This window comes from Homo sapiens, chromosome 1, assembly GCF_000001405.40.
Source record: "Homo sapiens chromosome 1, GRCh38.p14 Primary Assembly".
Classification (NCBI taxonomy): Eukaryota; Metazoa; Chordata; class Mammalia; order Primates; family Hominidae; genus Homo; species Homo sapiens.
Window position 1 is genome coordinate 91,660,899 of NC_000001.11, and position 18,767 is coordinate 91,679,665.

The following is an 18,767-nucleotide window of genomic DNA, read 5'->3' on the forward strand; positions in this document are numbered from 1 at the left end:
TAGCACTGACAATGTCCAGCATCCAATCAAAGATTACTAAACATCTGAAGAAGTAGAAAAAATGACCTATAGTGAGAAGAAATATCAGCCAACAGAAATAAATGCTTCTAATGTTTTCCTTGCAATGTGGTACAGTATTTTCTTTTTGGAATTAGAACTCTGATTCAGTAAGAAGGTAAATGATATTCTGGCTATTTTGTTTAAAAGGCAGAGTATATAATATTTTTAAGGATTTATGTCCCAAATAGAATAAATAGAAACTTGGGGTAAGCTTCACCTCTTTGACAATAACTCTTGAATCATATGAATAATTTACAACTTCATAGAATTATCACACTGTAAGAGGCCATGGAGATCATCTATTCCCTCATTTGAGAAATGAGAAAACCAAAGCCCAGTGACTTGTTATGGTAAGAAGCAGTTGGGTAATCATTGAGCCAGGTTAATTCCAAAGCCTAGGCTTTTTCCATGCTGCTTCTAGAGCCATCTTGTTAATTTTTAAATTCCACAGTATTTATTGCAGACCTGCTAAGGAGGGCACCATCCTAGGCATTGGACATAGAGCCATGAACAAGTTGGATATGACCCCTCTTCATGGAGCTCACATTCTAGGGCAAAAGGCATGCAATAAGCAAGAAAACAAATGTATATAAAATCTACATTGGGAGAAGTACTCAGAAGAAAATAAAGACAGAAAAATGGGATAGAGAATGACTGGGGGGTGAGAGAGGTGCCAAATTTGGTTTGTGTGGTGACAGAAGGCTTCTCTAAGAAGGTGACATCTGCCCTCAGGCCTCAATGATGATAAAGAGCCAGCCATATGAAAATGGGCAGGAAAATAATTCCAGGATGAGGGATAGCAAGTACAAAGTCTCTAAGGTGGGAATGAGTTTGGCATGACCATGGTAACAAGGAATGGAGAGGGGAATGGTGATAAAGAGTTAGGGACTGCAGACTTGCATCCTGGACCTATTGCTAATTTTCTGTATTGCTTAGTTAAGTCTAGGTGATCACTAAGGCTCTGACATGTTATGGTTCTCTAATTTACGGAGCATATTCAATGTGACAATAACAAGAAGTACCATGCAGAGAATAAAGAAACAAGATAATGTCCTATGTATGGTGCAAAAAGAATGGGCTTTGAAAGCAGCTTAACTCATTTGGATCCACATGTATTAACCACGTATTATTGGATAACTTCTTCAAGGCCTTATTAGTCTCGGCTTCTTCACTGATAAAAATAGGTATAATGCTAAATAGCACAGAGTGACCAGAAAAATTGACTGAGATGTGTAATAAAACCAAGCCCAGTGTTTGGCGCATATTAGCAGCTCAAAAAATGTTATTTTAAATCTTCTGTCTGGGGAACACGACTGATAATACTCATTATAAAGGCATGTGAAAACATCTAAGGAGAGGATGAAAGGGTTCATTAATCACAGATCTGTGTGACATACCTACTAAGTGCCAGGCACTGCTCTAAGTGCTGGGGATGGACTGATGAGCATGACACACACCCTGTTTCTTTTGGAGCTTGCATTCTGGATAGGGATGTAGCAGGACGAGCTGCAGACAAAACTCCTCAGACACCGAGTTAAAGAAGGAAGGGGTTTATTCAGCCGGGGGCATCGGCAAGACTCCTGTCTCAAGAGCCGAGCCCCCCGAATGAGCAATTCCTGTCCCTTTTAAGGGCTCACAACTCTAAGGGGGTGCGCGTGAGAGGGTCGTGATTGATTGAGCAAGCAGGGGGTATGTGACTGGGGGCTGCATGCACCGGTAATTATATCGGAACAAAACAGGATAGGGATTTTCACAGTGCTTTTCTATACAATGTCTGTATCTATGGATAACATAACCGATTAGGTCAGGGGTCGATCTTTGACTACCAGGCCCAGGGTGTGGCACCAGGCTGTCTGCTTGTGGATTTCATTTCTGCCTTTTAGTTTTTACTTCTTCTTTCTTTGGAGGCAGAAACTGGGCATAAGACAGTATGAGGGGTGGTCTCCTCCCTTATTTCCCCACTTTGAGATTCTCACTCAATAGTGGGAGTTCTCACTTTTATTTTTACTACCGATGTTTTCTTGCAAGACAGATCGATAGTGATTTATATAGTACACTTGTGCTGAAGCATTTTGGTGAACTAAGGTAACGATGAAGTTTTTATCATTTGAAGAAGTACAGGTAGCAAACAAGGGAGCAGTAAGCAGGTTCCTATTACTATTATAACTCTTATTATAAGAGTTTTACATCTTTCTAGTGCTGGGAACCATTTTCTAAACATGGCCCCAGGATCAAATCCATGCCACACTTGCACAGGCATATGTGCCAGTTTTGTCATATCTCTAACTATGTCTTTAACTACTTGCCCTTGATTATCTATGTGTAGGCAGCAATTAGTAAGGTTAAATTTCCTACAGACCTCTCTTTCAGCTGCTAGCAAGTAGTCGAGAGCTAATCTATTTTGATAGATAGCATTTCTCTTCTGAGTTTCTTGCCGGTCCAGAATAGTCAAGGCTCTGCCGGTTTTATTAGTGATTATTTTTAAGATAGCTTGTAACAATATGATTCGGTTGATCATGTAAATGGGGGTCCGGTATCCCCACGAGCTGTCTTGTGCTTAAGTAGCAGGCCTATAATATTGTATGATTCTCTCAGGGGGCCATTTATTATTTTTAAAATTTTCTATAGCTATGCTTCTCTTTTCATGGGAAGCATAGACAGGGAAGCCCAGGAGTTCACCTGTTTTTATGGGCAGTAGGAAGAAAGATGGTTTAATAGTGCCAATAACACAACTACCTGCCCACTGGTCAGGTAATTTGGTGTAAGCTCTATGCCCACATATCCAGTATAATCCAGTGGGGGCTGTCCAGTCCCGGTGGGACTCCGGGTGGGTCCACACGGTTTGCAACTTTGGGAATTTACTAAATGGATTTCTCTCTGTGTGATTTGAACTCCACCAAGTGACTGTTTTTGTGGTACCATTCTACAGTTTCTGTCTCAGACAACTAAGTCGTCCTACGGGGTGAGTGAATTCTTTTCCTTCTCTAGCTATGCAATATTGTCTAATAATTGAGGCTTTTAGGACCCAGAAATTATCAGGGTGATTCTTTTGAGCCGGGAATTCACCAGAAACTGGGTCTGTAGGTACTAATTCTCAGGCTTCCCCTGGCCATTGATCTCCTATTACAGTTCCTCCACATACGTACCATGAACTGATATTGAGAGACTGTGTTATATGCTCGGCTAATTGCAAAAACAAATTTCTTGTTTTTCCTGGAATTTCTGGTGCTGGCACATTTAGTTCATCATAGAAAGTTTGAAACACTGGCTCAGGAGAGCATTTGTAAACCTCTCCTCGAACCAAGATATTTACTCGAGGATCCAGTCCGGCCCCATCGATTCTTAAGGTCACACGCTCCTCTTTTTTTCTAGCAAGGATCAAGGGGATTGGTTATTGCTAGCTCTAAGGGGTTACATTGTCCTTTAGTACAGGAAGGGCCATTTTTTCCTTTCTGAAGGTGGACTGGATCTTTTTTATTTTTTTAATCCAAGTGGCCTAAATGACACAAGACCAGTATTTACATTTATTTCTACACAGTCCTAATTTATGGCAGATGTACTTATTTTCTGCCATATAGCCTCTTTTCTAATTAAGAGAACACACCTTGTTTCTAACTTATTACCATTAATGACAGCACAGGCATCAAATTTTAAGGTGACTTGTTTGGGCACCCCTTTTTCTTCTGTTTGGCTGACAATTTACTCATATCGTTTATGAGCCTCCACCAGTCCTCAGTCCTTAATCTTATTTTAAAAACTGTGGTTATGGGAGGATCAGATGGGTCATAACACACATCAGGTTGGTCATTTACTGGGCTACATACCTTGTATAGAATAACATTATACAAACAAGTTCTTTTTAGAGTTCCAGTACACTTATAATAACTGTAAAATAATAGGAACGTAGCAACCTTTTGCCCTACCTTAGTGACTTGATGTATACACTGGGAACAGTCCTCAGTCTGAGGAACGTCAGTTGACGTCCTTACTGTAAAAGTCCAAATTTTAAGGAAAATGAAACCCGCGACTAGTTTTCTCATGCTTCAGCCGTGCGTGGACCAGTCAGCTTCTGGGTGTGACTGGAGCAGGGCTTGTCGTCTTCTTCAGAGTCACTTTGCAGGGGTTGGCAAAGCTGCTCCCATCCACGTACTGCTCACAGTCTACTGATGTTTAAGGATGGTCTCGGAGGTTGGGCCTGCTAGAATAAACTGAGTCCAACACCTCTACACAGTTATGTTCAACTGGGCTCTCTGATACCAGGAGCAAGGTGGTGGGGTTTAGGGTGTTGCAAACTTCAATGGTTATGTGGGGATTTTCACATAGCAAGCTTTGGTGCTTGGTTAATCTAGCATTTGTTAGCCAATGATGTCCTTTGGTAGTCATTAAAGTTACCAAAGCATGGGGGACTTTTATATTCAGGTTTTGCCTAAGGGTTAGTTTATCTGCTTCTTGTGCTAACAGGGCCTTTGCTGCTAGGGCCCTTAGACCTGGGGGCCAGCCTTTGGAAACCCCATCTAGTTGTTTTGAGAGATAGGCCACTGGCCTTGGCCAGGGCCCCACAGTCTGGGTTAAAACTCCAACTGCCGTTTTTTCTCATTCTGACACATAAAGTGTAAAGAGTTTTGTCAGGTCAGGTAGCCTCAGGGCTGGGGCCGACATGAGTTTTTCTTTTAACTCATGAAAACCTCATTGCTGTTGATTGTAATAGATGTAGTTTATCTAATCTACATTTTTATTAACTGTCATTTACTAAAATATTGACAAATCTCATAACTATTTGATTTCAAGCTTTAAATTGATCTGCTATTCTTTGTGGGACTCCAATTGCGTCTAAATAGACATGAGAGTCGAAAGACCCGTAAGGGGCTTCTCTTGCTTTACGATGTCTTATTTTTTTTCCTTCCGGTTGATGAAATGCCAGGGCGAAAGGGATGGCCAGTTGGACTAAAGTACAAGTGCCACTCCAGTTATTCGGCAGAGTGCCCAGTAAAGGTCCACCACAATACCACCACACATCCGCTCAGGGATGAACAAGGGCTGACTGATTGATAAGCTCTTGAAAATTCTTAAGCTCACTGCATCCCTCCAGGTCTCCAAGGAACGCTGTCTCCTCCTTGTCGTGAGAGACACGAAGTGAACTCAGTGTTGGGAGAAGGAGGCTGGATGGCCCTGGGGGGCTGACCTGCAGGGTGCCGGACTTTGAGATATAGCAGAGAGAGCTTGGCACGACTTATTTCTCCAGGCTGTAGAATCCTGAAAAACAGCTACCATGCAGCCTACACCTGGTCGACTGGAGGACCACCTTAGTGGAAAGGGGACAATCTGGGCCTCTGGCCTGCCATGTGCACAAGCATAACAGTTGCTTTTGTTTAACATGCAGATAGAATATTTGATCCATTTTAACCAGGCATTTGCATCTTGGTATCCTGTCTTAATTGCTAAAGTTTGTTTTAAGTCTTTAACTTCTATGATCCTCTAGTAAAATGAATGTATGGTTTTAGGAAATTACAAAAACCAGTTAGGGCAGTCCATCCTTGCTCTTTAGTGGTCAACAGAATGTTGGACCAACTATGGCATGAAAGCTCTACATCAGGGGCAAGACTCCTGGTTGGCACTGGGGTGTTTATCGAAATCTCCCCGGATTAAATGGTCCTAGTTTACTAGTGCCCAGTCTGAGGAGAGTCAGGAGGGACAGAAGTACTTTTCTGAAGTAGAAAGCTGTCTTTGGCTTGGCAAGTCCCCACAGGGTATAACAAGGCAAGCATTAAATGCAATAGTTTGAGGCAAAATTGACTTGGTTATGTTAATAGATGGTCAGCAATAGAACAGTAACAGTAACAGAATAGATGAAAAGAGTTAAATTTTTCTTAGCTTTAGTTTGGTAGGGCTTTCCCCCGGGACTACGGCCATGACTCTGGAGGGGGTGGTGCTTTCTTGACTCGGGTGTGATGAGTCCATCCTTTTTTTTTTTTTTTTTTTTTTTTGCTGTACAAACAGCAGTCTTGGTGGTTAGCAGCACAAGGTAGGGTCCTTCCCAGGCTGGCTCGAGTTTTTCTTCTTTTCACCCTTTGATGAGAACGTGATCTTCAGGCTGGTGCTGGTTTACCGGAAATTTTAGGGGTGGTACATGTGCTAAAAGACTTTTAGTTTTTGAGAGAAAGGAAAGTGGAAGATAAACCAAGTATATAATTTTTAAGAAATTGACCTTTTGTTTTAAATGTGGGGACCTTGGCAGTGGACTTTAGAGTCCTTAGTGCCTTTTTACTGAGAAATTTCCTTTAGCACCTATTTTTATTAGTTTTTAAACCAAAGAAAGCCAAATACCATTTTACATTTAACAATGCTTCTCGTATGATTTTTATACCAGATAAGCTAAATTTTATCTTTATATTAGTGTGTTATTAATGTTAAACCTAATTTTAATAAAACCTTGTAGACATATTTATCTAATTTTTAATGTTTGACCATAAGGTAAGATTTTACAGACTCTTTTTAACCTTTTATAATTTTTGCTAAAAAGAAGGTTGGTGCTTTAAGAAAAACCTGCTATGCTTTTACTTTAATGTCCAGTTTACAAAAAAACTGGATGATACTTCTTTAACTTTAGCTAATATGTGTACACAGAGAATTATTTTTACAATTAATGTTTTAACACTTGTTTAAACATTCAAAACAGTAATTTTTTTTAACTTTTTAATGTAGGTAAAAATGTACATTCTTATGCCTCCTTATAATTCTTTTACCAAAGGTATACTTTACTTTTTTTATACACCTTGCACATAAACTTTTTTTTTTTTAATAGTTTTACATTCAGGAGGCCTAGTTACTTTTAAATTATGCAACATTTTTTGCATAAATTCTTTTTTATAACTTTTTTTCTTTCATGACTTTTGAAGACAATTCTTTGACATGTCTCAACTTTATGACTTACTACAAATATTTCTTTCTTTAAACAACCAGTTAATTTATTTCAGAGCAAGAATTTACCATATAATACTTTTTATATAAATTCCACCTTCCCTTTTTTTTCCTTTTTTTTTTCCCTTAGGATACTTCTGAACTGGCGAGGTGTGCTCACAATGAGGTTTTCTCTAAAAGTTATTGTTTTTTACTTTTGTTGTTGTCGTTGTTGTTGTTGTTAGCAAAACAGTTGCTGCTACAGATTGAATGCATTTGGGCCATCCGCGGGTTACTGGGTTAAGGATTTTTGATAGGAAGGCCTCAGTGCTTTCGGGATACGCCCTTGTTTACACTGACAAAGTGGTATTGGAGTGTTATAGGGTTACGGAGGATACCTTCAATTATCGATTATAGGTTTTAAATTTACCTTGGCTTTTAAAAGAATAGGGTACACTTTTTTTTAACTACTTGTATATCTCTTTCTTTCTCTCTTTGACTTTGTCTCTCTCTTTTTGACTCCTTTTGCGTCTGTCTCTTCCTCTCTCTCTCTGCCTCCTCTTTCTCTCTCTCTCCTTGACTTCCTCTTTGTCTGTCTCTTCCTCTGTCTCTTCCTCTCTCTCTTTGCCTCTTTTCCTCTCTGTCTCTTTCCTTTCTCTCTCTCTGCTGGTCTTTCCTTGCCTTTGCCAGCTGCTTCTGCTGCTGTTCTCTCAACCACTGTGTGTTGGGGGCGGGGGGCCTAAAACCAGCTGTAACCAAGTGTCTACGTACCGGAACTGGTCTGGCTGTAACCAAGTGTCTACGTACCGGAACTGGTCTGGCTGTAACCAAGTGTCTACGTACCGGAACTGGTCTGGCTGTAACCAAGTGTCTACGTACCGGAACTGGTCTGGCTGTAACCAAGTGTCTACGTACCGGAACTGGTCTGGCTGTAACCAAGTGTCTACGTACCGGAACTGGTCTGGCTGTAACCAAGTGTCTACGTACCGGAACTGGTCTGGCTGTAACCAAGTGTCTACGTACCGGAACTGGTCTGGCTGTAACCAAGTGTCTACGTACCGGAACTGGTCTGGCTGTAACCAAGTGTCTATGTACCGGAACTGGTCTGGCTGTAACCAAGTGTCTATGTACCGGAACTGGTCTGGCTGTAACCAAGTGTCTACGTACCGGAACTGGTCTGGCTGTAACCAAGTGTCTACGTACCGGAACTGGTCTGGCTGTAACCAAGTGTCTATGTACCGGAACTGGTCTGGCTGTAACCAAGTGTCTATGTACCGGAACTGGTCTGGCTGTAACCAAGTGTCTACGTACCGGAACTGGTCTGGCTGTAACCAAGTGTCTACGTACCGGAACTGGTCTGGCTGTAACCAAGTGTCTACGTACCGGAACTGGTCTGGCTGTAACCAAGTGTCTACGTACCGGAACTGGTCTGGCTGTAACCAAGTGTCTACGTACCGGAACTGGTCTGGCTGTAACCAAGTGTCTATGTACCGGAACTGGTCTGGCTGTAACCAAGTGTCTACGTACCGGAACTGGTCTGGATTCCCTGGCTTACAGGTTACCTTGTGTCATACCTTTGAAACAAGGGACCTGTCCAGGCTTCCTTCTAATGGCCAACCTACCTCTAATGCTGGCCAGTCTATCTTACACAAAGTTTGAAGTTTTCCTGGTGTCATAGTACTCCACAGCCTCCCTTAAATTCTTTTTTGAAATTTTTCAACATAGTTCCTAGTAGGGTGGGCTTATTTGTGGCTGACCTACGCTTCTTCGAGACAAAACACCACGCTCACTCCACAAACACACCACAAAACAAAGAACAGGTAAATAGAGCACACACACATACTTTTGCAGTTTGCACCAAACCAAAATCAAAACCAAAATCAGAGTATCCAGAAATCTAAGCCAGGTCAAAACCAAAACCAAAGTATCAAGCAATCCAAGTCAAGTCAAAAACAAAAACCAAAGTGCCAGTACAGGCACACCATGGGTGATCAGGCCACGCTTCCACTCAAATGGAGTGGGCAAGTTCCCAAGACCGGTCATGTCAAGCAATTCAAACCAAATCAAAACCAAAACCAAACCAAAGTGCCGATAAAGGTACGCCGTGGGTGATCAGGCCATGCTTCCACTCAAACGGAGTGGGCGAGTTCCAAAGACTAGTCTTACCAAGTTTTAGATATCCAGACTTCAAGTGCCCATTCCTTCCCGGTGTTCAGCCACTGCATTGATACTCCACGAGGGCCTGCAACACACTGCTCTGGAGAGGCGTCCCACCGGGGCAAATTCCTTCCCGGGAGCGCTCTCAGGATCCGCGTCGCTCGGGCTGGTCAGAGTCCCCCACAGGGATGTTCCACAGGACAGGCTTAAGCCGCCTAAGGAGCTGCCTCAACCATCCGCCATTCAGCTCGCTTCCCGGTCAGGGAACCAAGAAATGTAGCAGGACCAGCCACAGGCAAACCTCCTCAGACAGCGAGTTAAAGAAGGAAGGGGTTTATTCGGCCGGGGGCATCAACAAGGCTCCTGTCTCAAGAGCCGAGCCCCCTGAGTGAGCAATTCCTGTCCCTTTTAAGGGCTCATGACTCTAAGGGGGTGCGCGTGAGAGGGTCGTGATTGATTGAGCAAGCAGGGGGTAAGTGACTGGGGGCTGCATGCACCGGTAATTAGATCGGAACAAAACAGGATAGGGATTTTCACAGTGCTTTTCTATACAGTGTCTGTAATCTATAGATAACAATCAATTAGGTCAGGGGTCCATCTTTAACCACCAGGCCCAGGGTGTGGCGCCGGGCTGTCTGCTTGTGGATTTCATTTCTGCCTTTTAGTTTTTTCTTTTTCTTTCTTTGGAGGCGGAAACTGGGCATAAGAAAGTATGAGGGGTGGTCTCCTCCCTTAGAGAAAGATGGGCAATGTACAAACTAAAACAATTAAGAAAAATATTATCAAGGAATAAGTGTCATGCAAAGAATTAAAACTAAATGATGTGATGGAGGGAAATTGGGTGTCTACCATAGACTGGGTGATGGGGGAAAGCCTTTCCCGTGTGATAATTAAGCTGAGATCTGAAAAGTAAGGAGGAACCAGCTGTGGGATGATAGGGGGAGTAGCATTCCAGGCAAAGGAATTGTCAATGTGAAGGCGTTAAGGTAACAAAGATGTCACAGAACATGATGGTTGGAGCAAAACAGGGAGGCAAGAGAGTCGTATGAGCTGAGGAGGAGTCAGATCCCTTAGGGCTCTGAGTGCCAAGATAATCACAGACAAAGGGCTAATCTTTGTAATATATAAAGAATTCCTAGAAATTGAGAAAATTAAAGACAACAACCCGATAGAAAAAGAGGCAAAGGATAAAACAGACAGTTCACAGCATAACAACAAATAATCCTTATACATATAAAAAGATGCACAACTTCATTCATTGTAAGAAAAATGCAAATTAAAATTACTTTGAGATATCATTTTTTCATCCATCAAATTGGCAAAAATACCAGAGTTGGATAACGCACTCAATTGGTACAGCTATGAGAAAACAGGTATTGTTGACAGTAGTTTAAAATGGTGCAACTTCAATGGGATCCAATTTGGTAATATCTATTAGGAATAAAAATGCACTTACTCTTTGGCCTGGCAATCCTACTTCTGGGAATTTTTCCTTGAGATACACCTGCACACAAACCAAAGAACCTTCATATAAGGCTACTCACTGCAGTGTGGTTTTTAATAGCAAGAGATGGAAACAAGCCAAGTGTGCATTGAAAGGGGTAGGTTAGGCCAGGTGCGGGGGCTCATGCCTGTAATCCCAGCACTTTGGGAGGCCGAGGCAGGTGGATCATGAGGTCAGGAGTTTGAGACCAGCCTGATCAACATGGTGAAACTCCGTCTGTACTGAAAATACAAAAATTAGCCAGGCATGGTGGCACGTGCCTGTAATCCCAGCTAATCAGGAGGGTGAGGCAGGAGAATCGCTTGAATCTGGGAGGCGGAAGTTATAGGTAGCCAAGATTGTGCCATTGAACTCCAGCCTGGGCAACAGAGCGAGACTCCATCTCAAAAATAAAATAAAATAAAGAAGAAGAAAAAAAGGGATAGGTTAAATAAATTATGGTATATCCCCAAAGTAGAATTCTATATGGCTGTAGAAAAGAAATGAGATACTGATTTATATTCTGATATGGATACAAAATATGTTAGGTGAGACAAGCAAAATGCAGAACATGTATCGTATTAATATGTTTCCACTGTGTAATAAAGGGGGAAAGAGAGGAGATTCTTATTTGCTCACATTTGCTTTAAGAAGCATCACAAGCTAGTGAAAGTGGCTACCTACAGGGGAACAGAAGGGTACACACAGGAATAGGAGCCGGATTTTTAAAAGTATACTTTTGTTTTGTTTTTTTGGAATTTATTCTAAGTGTGATGGGAAGCCATTTGGAGTATTAAACAGGGGATTGACAAGATCTAACGTCTTTTAAAGAGTGTGTTCTAGCAGCCACCTGGGGAATAATCTTAGACAGACGAGGAGGCCGCAGGGAGTCTGCTGGATGTGCTGGTTTATGTTGGAGGTAAGGATGGCGTAGACTCGGGTGGTGGTGGTGCAGATGGAGAGCAGCAGATATGTTTGGAAGCCATCAGGACTCACTGATGGATTGGCTGCGGGAGGTTAGAGAAAAATAACAGTTTTGTGTCTTGAGTCATGAGGTGGCATGGTGCTACCAGACCCCAGAGATTGATAAAATAACAGCTGGGGCAGTTCATAGGGTTTTATGGAAAAGACTGCCTGTTAGCAGAGCTGTGAAGGACTCTAGGATCTGAGGAGGTGATGAGAAGGCCTTGCAGATGGAGAGGAAGGAATGGAGCAGGCAGGGCCAGGGGCCAGGAGGCAGTGGGGGGCTCTGCTCTGAGAACTGGTTGGGTCTCTCTGCTCACAGTTGTTTCAGTTTTTCTCCATTGCAACTCAGCTCAGCCCCAGGGCCATGAAACAACTTGAAACCAAATCCTCTATTTCCCATCATATGCTTCTTTTAACTGCTTCCTACACTTCCTGTGACTGTTTCCTTGCAGTAACTAGAGTTTCTATCACATGCATTGGCATTCTGAGAAATACACTAAAAGTGAAAAAAATCAACCAGTCAAAATGAGGACTGGCTGGCTGGCTGGGTTAAAGATTTGTCGCTTTTTCCTTTGCTGGCGCAATAACGTAATTACCTTCTCTTGGATCACTCACTGGGGTGGAAAGGTAAAGCGTGGTGGATTTCCCTGGAGTGCAGGTTGGATGCTCCTCCAGGTGCTTCCACTTTTAAGGCTAACTGGCGGGCTAAGAAGCTTTTTATTTTCACCTCTCCTCTCCACTCAAGAAAAAGATTTGATAACTGGAATCCTCAATGGAAAGTCTCTTCTGCAGTTGCTGTACTTATCAAAAAGTGGTGCTCCAGAAGAAGTTTGTGTTTCAGATGAAGATTCTTGAAGCTCTAGTTTCCACTTTTGGGGTATGCTGTATGGTTTTGGGTTTAAATAACAAAAATTGGCCAGGCACGGTGGCTCATGCCTGTAATCCCAGCATTTTGGGAGGCCGAGGCAGGTGGATCAGTTGAGGCCAGGAGTTCAAGAACAGCCTGGCCAACATGGTGAAACCCCGTCTCTACTAAAAACACAAAAATTAGACGGGCATGGTGGCAGGCTCCTGTAGTCCCAGCTACTTGAGGGGCTGAGGAAGGAGAATCACCAGAAAGTCAAGGCTGCAATGAGCCGAAATTCTGCCATTGCACTCCAGCCTGGGCGACAGAGCGAGATCCTATCTCATGGAAAAAAAAAAATTAGTTTTCTCCCTTCCTACACCACCCCTGCACCATACAGAATCCATGTGATTTTCCCTTTTAAAAATTCAGCATTATTTCAACACTGTTGTCAAGTACACTGTGTTCTTTGCAGAAACTATGTCATAGGCAGTTTATGAACCGGGACAAGTAACAGACCAGCAAAAGCTGCTCCACCCAAATCACTTATGAAGACTTTCAGCTTTGAGTCTTTGATTGGTCAAGTGGAAAGAACCAAGTTGGGTTTCAAAGCTGAGAAATTCTTGTTCTCCTTGTCCATTCCCTCTTTTCTTGCACAGGTGGTGTGCTTTGGTTGATAAAAGGATAATCAGTTCTGGGGCTTCTGAGCAGAAAGAAAATATTGATAATATGTTAATAAAATAGAAAGGAAAATGGCTGAGGGTTGTGTGTGTGTGTGTGTGTGTGCACACTCACACTCCCACCCCTCATTTCTTTTTAAGTCAAGATAGAGTTCACTTCAGTCATGTGGTTCTACATTTAAAGTTTTTTTTTCTTTTTAATGAATTCTCAGAGGCAGTAAATGCAGAAAATCTTTAAAAATTAATTCAAGCTGTGACCTTCTGAGTAAGGGGAGGTGATGTCATATGATGACCTTTATTTTAAGTGTGAAATCGAATCTACATAAAGTACAGTGTTGAGTTCCTCTGAAAAAGCTGAGGTGGCAATCTAAGAACAAGGGCAGCAAATATGCCAAAACTCAAACTTTTGATTATCAATGACATCTATAAAAATTAATCCGGCCATTTGCCCATTTTCAAACATGTTGCATTAGGGAAGAACAATGCTATAGGTTTGGCTTGCTTTGAAACAAAAAAGATGCCTATATTTGGCATTTGGTAACATTTCTTCACTTTACAGAATTATTATAACATTCACAAGTGGCTAGATGAAACCAACACTTTATAAATAATGTTTGATTAGGGAATATTAATTTTTCCATAAACATGGGGAGGGAGGAAGAGGAGGAAGAGCAGCAAATTATCAAGAATACTGTGTGGAACCATGAAAAGTTTGGGATAGACCTAACATTGATTTGCTTTTTATTTACTAGACAACTTTTTTTTCTCTCTCTCTCTCTCTCTCTTTTTTTGAAATAACAGGGAAAGAAATTACATCTGTGTTTTTTTTTTTACAATAAAAATCAGACAACTCACAACTCTTATTTAGGTCATGAAATTATAACATTTTTGGATCACAGACTCTTGTAAGAATCTAATGAAAACTATGACTTATTGCCATATGTAAGGGCCTAATGAATTAGATCAATTTCTGGTTGTTTTACTTGTCTGTTTGAGTAATCCATTTAACTATTCCTATGCTAATATCATATTATTTTTATTACATGATTTTATACTATATGTGCTAAGGCCAGACTACCTCACAATTCTTTTTAAAAGTATTAATTCAATGGGAAGTGAATGAATTGAATAAATTCATTTTTTTAATAAATTCATTTTTTAATAAATGCTTCCAGTAGAATTGAATAATCACCTGGAAAGAAGCAAAAATAGACCCCTACCTTCATATCATACACAAAAGTATGGATAAAGACCTACATTTTAAAAATAAAATTTTAAAAGTATTAGTATATATCTAGAGTCAGAGAAACCCTAAGCAAGAGAGGGAACCCAGAGGCCAAAAGGAAAAGATATGTATCTTCAACTACATAAGAATTAAACATTTAGTCTTGGCAATATCAATTAGAAACAAAATGAAAAGACCATAATAGACTGGGAAAATATTTCTCATACATGACATGTGACACAGAATTTCACTAATGTACGATCATTAAGAGAAAGACAATTCATTAGAAAAATGGGCAAAGAAAATAGAAATTTATAGGAGAACCTGGGAAAGACTGATATGATAATTTAAAACTTAGTCATTGCAGATAATACAAATCCAAATGAGATACAATTTTCAACCATCAGATTGGCAAAATTTAATAGTGGGTAATATTTATTAAGTGATTAGTATAGGCTAAGAACTTTATGTGGACTAGCTCATTTAATATTGACAACAATGCTAAAGTGTAGATTTTTTTTAATATCACGGAAACAGTTCACCTAGCAAATGGTAGCACCAAGATTTAAATCTGATGCCTAGAGCCCAAACTTCTGTTTCAACGTAGGCAATGTTGATGAGGAAGCCAGGGAATGGGCACTCATACATTGCCTGTAGTGATGGCGTGATTTTCAAAAACCTTTAGAGAAAGTAATGTGGCAATAAATATTAAGATTAATATAAAAAACTCATTCTCTTTGACCTGCCATCCCAGGAATAAAAGAAACACCAGGATCTTGGCATTATCTGTTCTTTGACTACTTGGTAGAATTTACCTGTAAAACCAGCTGGGCTTGGTGGTGTTTTTTGTTTGTTTGTTTTAAATTTTGTGTTCTATTTTGTTGTGAGTAGATTTTAATTTAGTTTTTACTTTTTATTTTTTATTTTATTTTTCCCATAAGCCTCCTAGATCTTACTTTTCTTAAATGTAAAGATTTATTAAAGATTTATTTTCAATTTTTATTGCTTCTTGAAATAGTTTTGCAACATTGCATTTTTACTAGGAAGTCATCAGTGCCATCCACTAAGTTTTTGTCTCCTAGCTCCCTATCTGCTTGATGATGCTGGTAGTGGGACTGGGCAAGCCACGCTCAACTTCCCGCTCTGATAATCCCTGCCCTGGGCCCTCAGCAATCTCTGTTCACCTTTTCAGCCCTTCAACATCTGCTACACCAAGTCCTCACGTTCATTTCTTTCTGTTGAAATAATCAGAGTGGTTTTTGTTTACCCAACAGAACTCTGACTGTCCCTGACACATCACCCACATTGTGTTTTCTAATTTATTAAAATAAAGTTTATGATGATCCCTTATTGATTAAAATTTCTGCTATATCTGTTGTGTCTTTTTTTATCTTCTAATGCATGTGTTTACTTTTACTTAATTTTTACCTATCTCCAATAGTCTTTTAAAGTAATAATTAACTTGCCATGTTGGATACTGTTACATTTTCAATCTTTTTTTTCCAATGTACAACTTAGAGCAATTTAAGTTTCTCATAAGTTACCTGCTTTAGCCGCATGTTTGAATGTAGTATTTTCACTGTTCAAGTCTAATCTTCTAATTTTCTTTTTTCTTTTTCTTTTTTTTTTCTTGAGATGGAGTCTTGCTCTTTCACCCAGGCTGGAGTGCAGTGGCGCAATCTCGGCTCACTGCAACCTCTGCCTCCCAGGTTGAAGTGATGCCCTTGCCTAAGCCTCCTGAGTAGCTGGGACTACAGGCCCATGCCACCATCCCCAGCTAATTTTTGTATTTCTGGTAGAGATGTGGTTTCACTATGTTGGCCAGGCTGGTCTTGAACTCCTGGCCTCAGGTGATCCACCCGCCTCAGCCTCCCAATCCAATTTTCATTATGACTTCTTTGAGCCATGAATTATTTAGAAGTGTTTTTGGTTTTTTTTTTTCCATTTAACTGATTGTCAGAACATATAAAGTGTTTTTTTTTTTTTTTTTTTTTTTTTTTTTGGAGACAGAGTTGTGCTCTGTCACCAGGCTGGAGTGCAGTGGCGCAATCTTGGCTCGCTGCAACCTCTGCCTCCCAAGTTCAAGCGATTCGTCTGCCTCAGCCTCCCGAGTAGCTGCGACTACAGGCGCCCGCCACCACGCCCGGCTAATTTTTTTGTATTTTAGTAGAGACAGGGTTTCACCATGTTGGCCAGGCTGGTCTCGATCTCCTGACCTTGTGCTCCGCCCACCTTGGCCTCCCAAAGTGCTGGGATTACAGGTGTGAGCCACTGCGCCCGGCTGTAAAGTGTTTTTAAATTCCTAAATGTATTGAGTATTTAAAAATTATTTTCGTATTCATTTTTAAACTATTTGCATTGTGATTAAGTAACCTGATCAGTATGATTAAATTTTGTGATATTTGCTGAGAATGCCATTATAGTTCCAGGAGTGGTATATACAAAATTGTCAAATTGGGGGGACACAGGATTCTATGTATGGATCTTAATCAAGCTTAATTACATTGTTCAAATCTTCCATATCCAAATATTTTTGACTTGTCAACTTCTGAGAGTGATATGTTAAAATATCCTACTGTGATGAATTTGTCAGTTCCTCTTTTTCCTCTTTATAATTTTTATAATTCTGTCACTTTTTTTTTTTTTTTTGCTTTAAAGCATTGGAGTGTGAGAACATAATATATAAGGATATTAACTGCAGCAGAATATCTTGGCAAAAAACTAAAATGTCATTACTAGTGAATTGGCTGAATTCATTGTAAAAAATATTATGCAGCCACCAAAAAACATGAAATTTGTTCCGTATCTAATAATCTACAGGAGGTCGATGTTAAGTGAAAAAGGCAAGTTGCAGAGTATGTATATTGTGATCCCATTTTTAGTAAACGAAACAAAAACTTCTATATTCATGAACACGTTTCAATATGTTTGAGTTTGAAAAAAGGCTGTTAACATCAGCTCCTCTAGGTAAGTGACTGGAGGGAGTAGGAAGGGTAGCGTTAACAAATATCTTTGTATTTCACTTCCTATGAGAACCATATTTTTATTTGGGCAATTTAAGTTAAGCCTAATAAGAAAATGATGATGATCAGCAGTCATCTTAGGAGCCCTGAGAAAGATATGCCATATGAAAAAAGCAAGTCACAGGCTGGGCGTGGTGGCTCACGCCTGTAATCCCAGCACTTTGGGAGGCCGAGATGGGTGGATCACTTGAAGTTAGGAGTTCGAGACCAGCCTGGCCAACATGGTGAAACCTTTTCTCTACTAAAAATATAAAAATTTGCCTTGGGTTTAGTAGAAACCCCATCTCTACTGAAAATATAAAAATTAGCTTTGGGTGACACAATGAGACCCTGTCTCAAAAAAAAAAAAAAAAAAAAGAAAAAAGAAAAAAGCAAGTCACAACTGTTATAATCCAATTTTTTTTTTTTTTTTTTTTTGAGACAGGGCCTTCCTCTGTCACCCAGGCTGGAGTGCGGTGACATGATCTCAACTCACTGGAATCTCCACCTCCTGGGTTCAAAGATTCTCGTGTCTCAGCCTTCTGAGTAGCTGGGATACAGACGCATGCCACCCCGCCCCGCTAATTTTTGTATTTTTAGTAGAGACAGGGTTTCACTATGTTGGCCAGGCTGGTCTCGAACTCCTTACCCCAAGTGATCCACCCACCTTGGCCTCCCAAAGTACTGGGATTACAGGCATGAGCCACTGCACCGGGCCATAATCCAATCTTATTTAATGACATGGACATGTTGATATGAATTAAGGAAACATCTGGGAACACATACACTAAATCGGTATTCTTATATTCAAGTTGGAGGATTATGGAGGCCTTTTCATTGCTACATGTCTGTATTCTTTGCATTCATTTTATATATATATATTGTGTGAACAAGAAAGATAATTTTTTCTTACAAAAAGCCTATGGACTCTCACCAAAAACAACAGCCGAGACATAGCTGCAATAAAATCCTACATACAATTCCAGCCACTTCACAGACTCTCTGAAGCCCATTTATTAATCACCCAGGTTTTGACTCCAGTAGACACAAGGAGAGTTTAATGGCAAAAAAAATTCATTGACCTGCCAATTACTCCCACATATCCTAAGAGGAGCTGGTTGCAGGGGGCACCGTAGCTGTAAAATGGAGCTTAACACTGTTCCGGCTCTGTGGGTACCCACCTGTGTAACATGTGAGGGATGGGCTGCTGGCCTTGATGCCAAATCATCTGAGTCACTAAAAATCTCAAAAGGGGAGTGTGGCCTGTAAATGCATATTCAATGCTGTAATGTAATATTTGATACTGAACGAGAACTTTTTTCATTACAAATTTGTCTGGGGGTGAGGATGCCAAATAGAACTGAGCTCCGGAGAGGTGAGAGAAGTAGCTGGGAAAGCAGGCAGATTAGCCTCCTCGGAACCATGCTTAGGAATCTGAACTGTATCCTGAAGG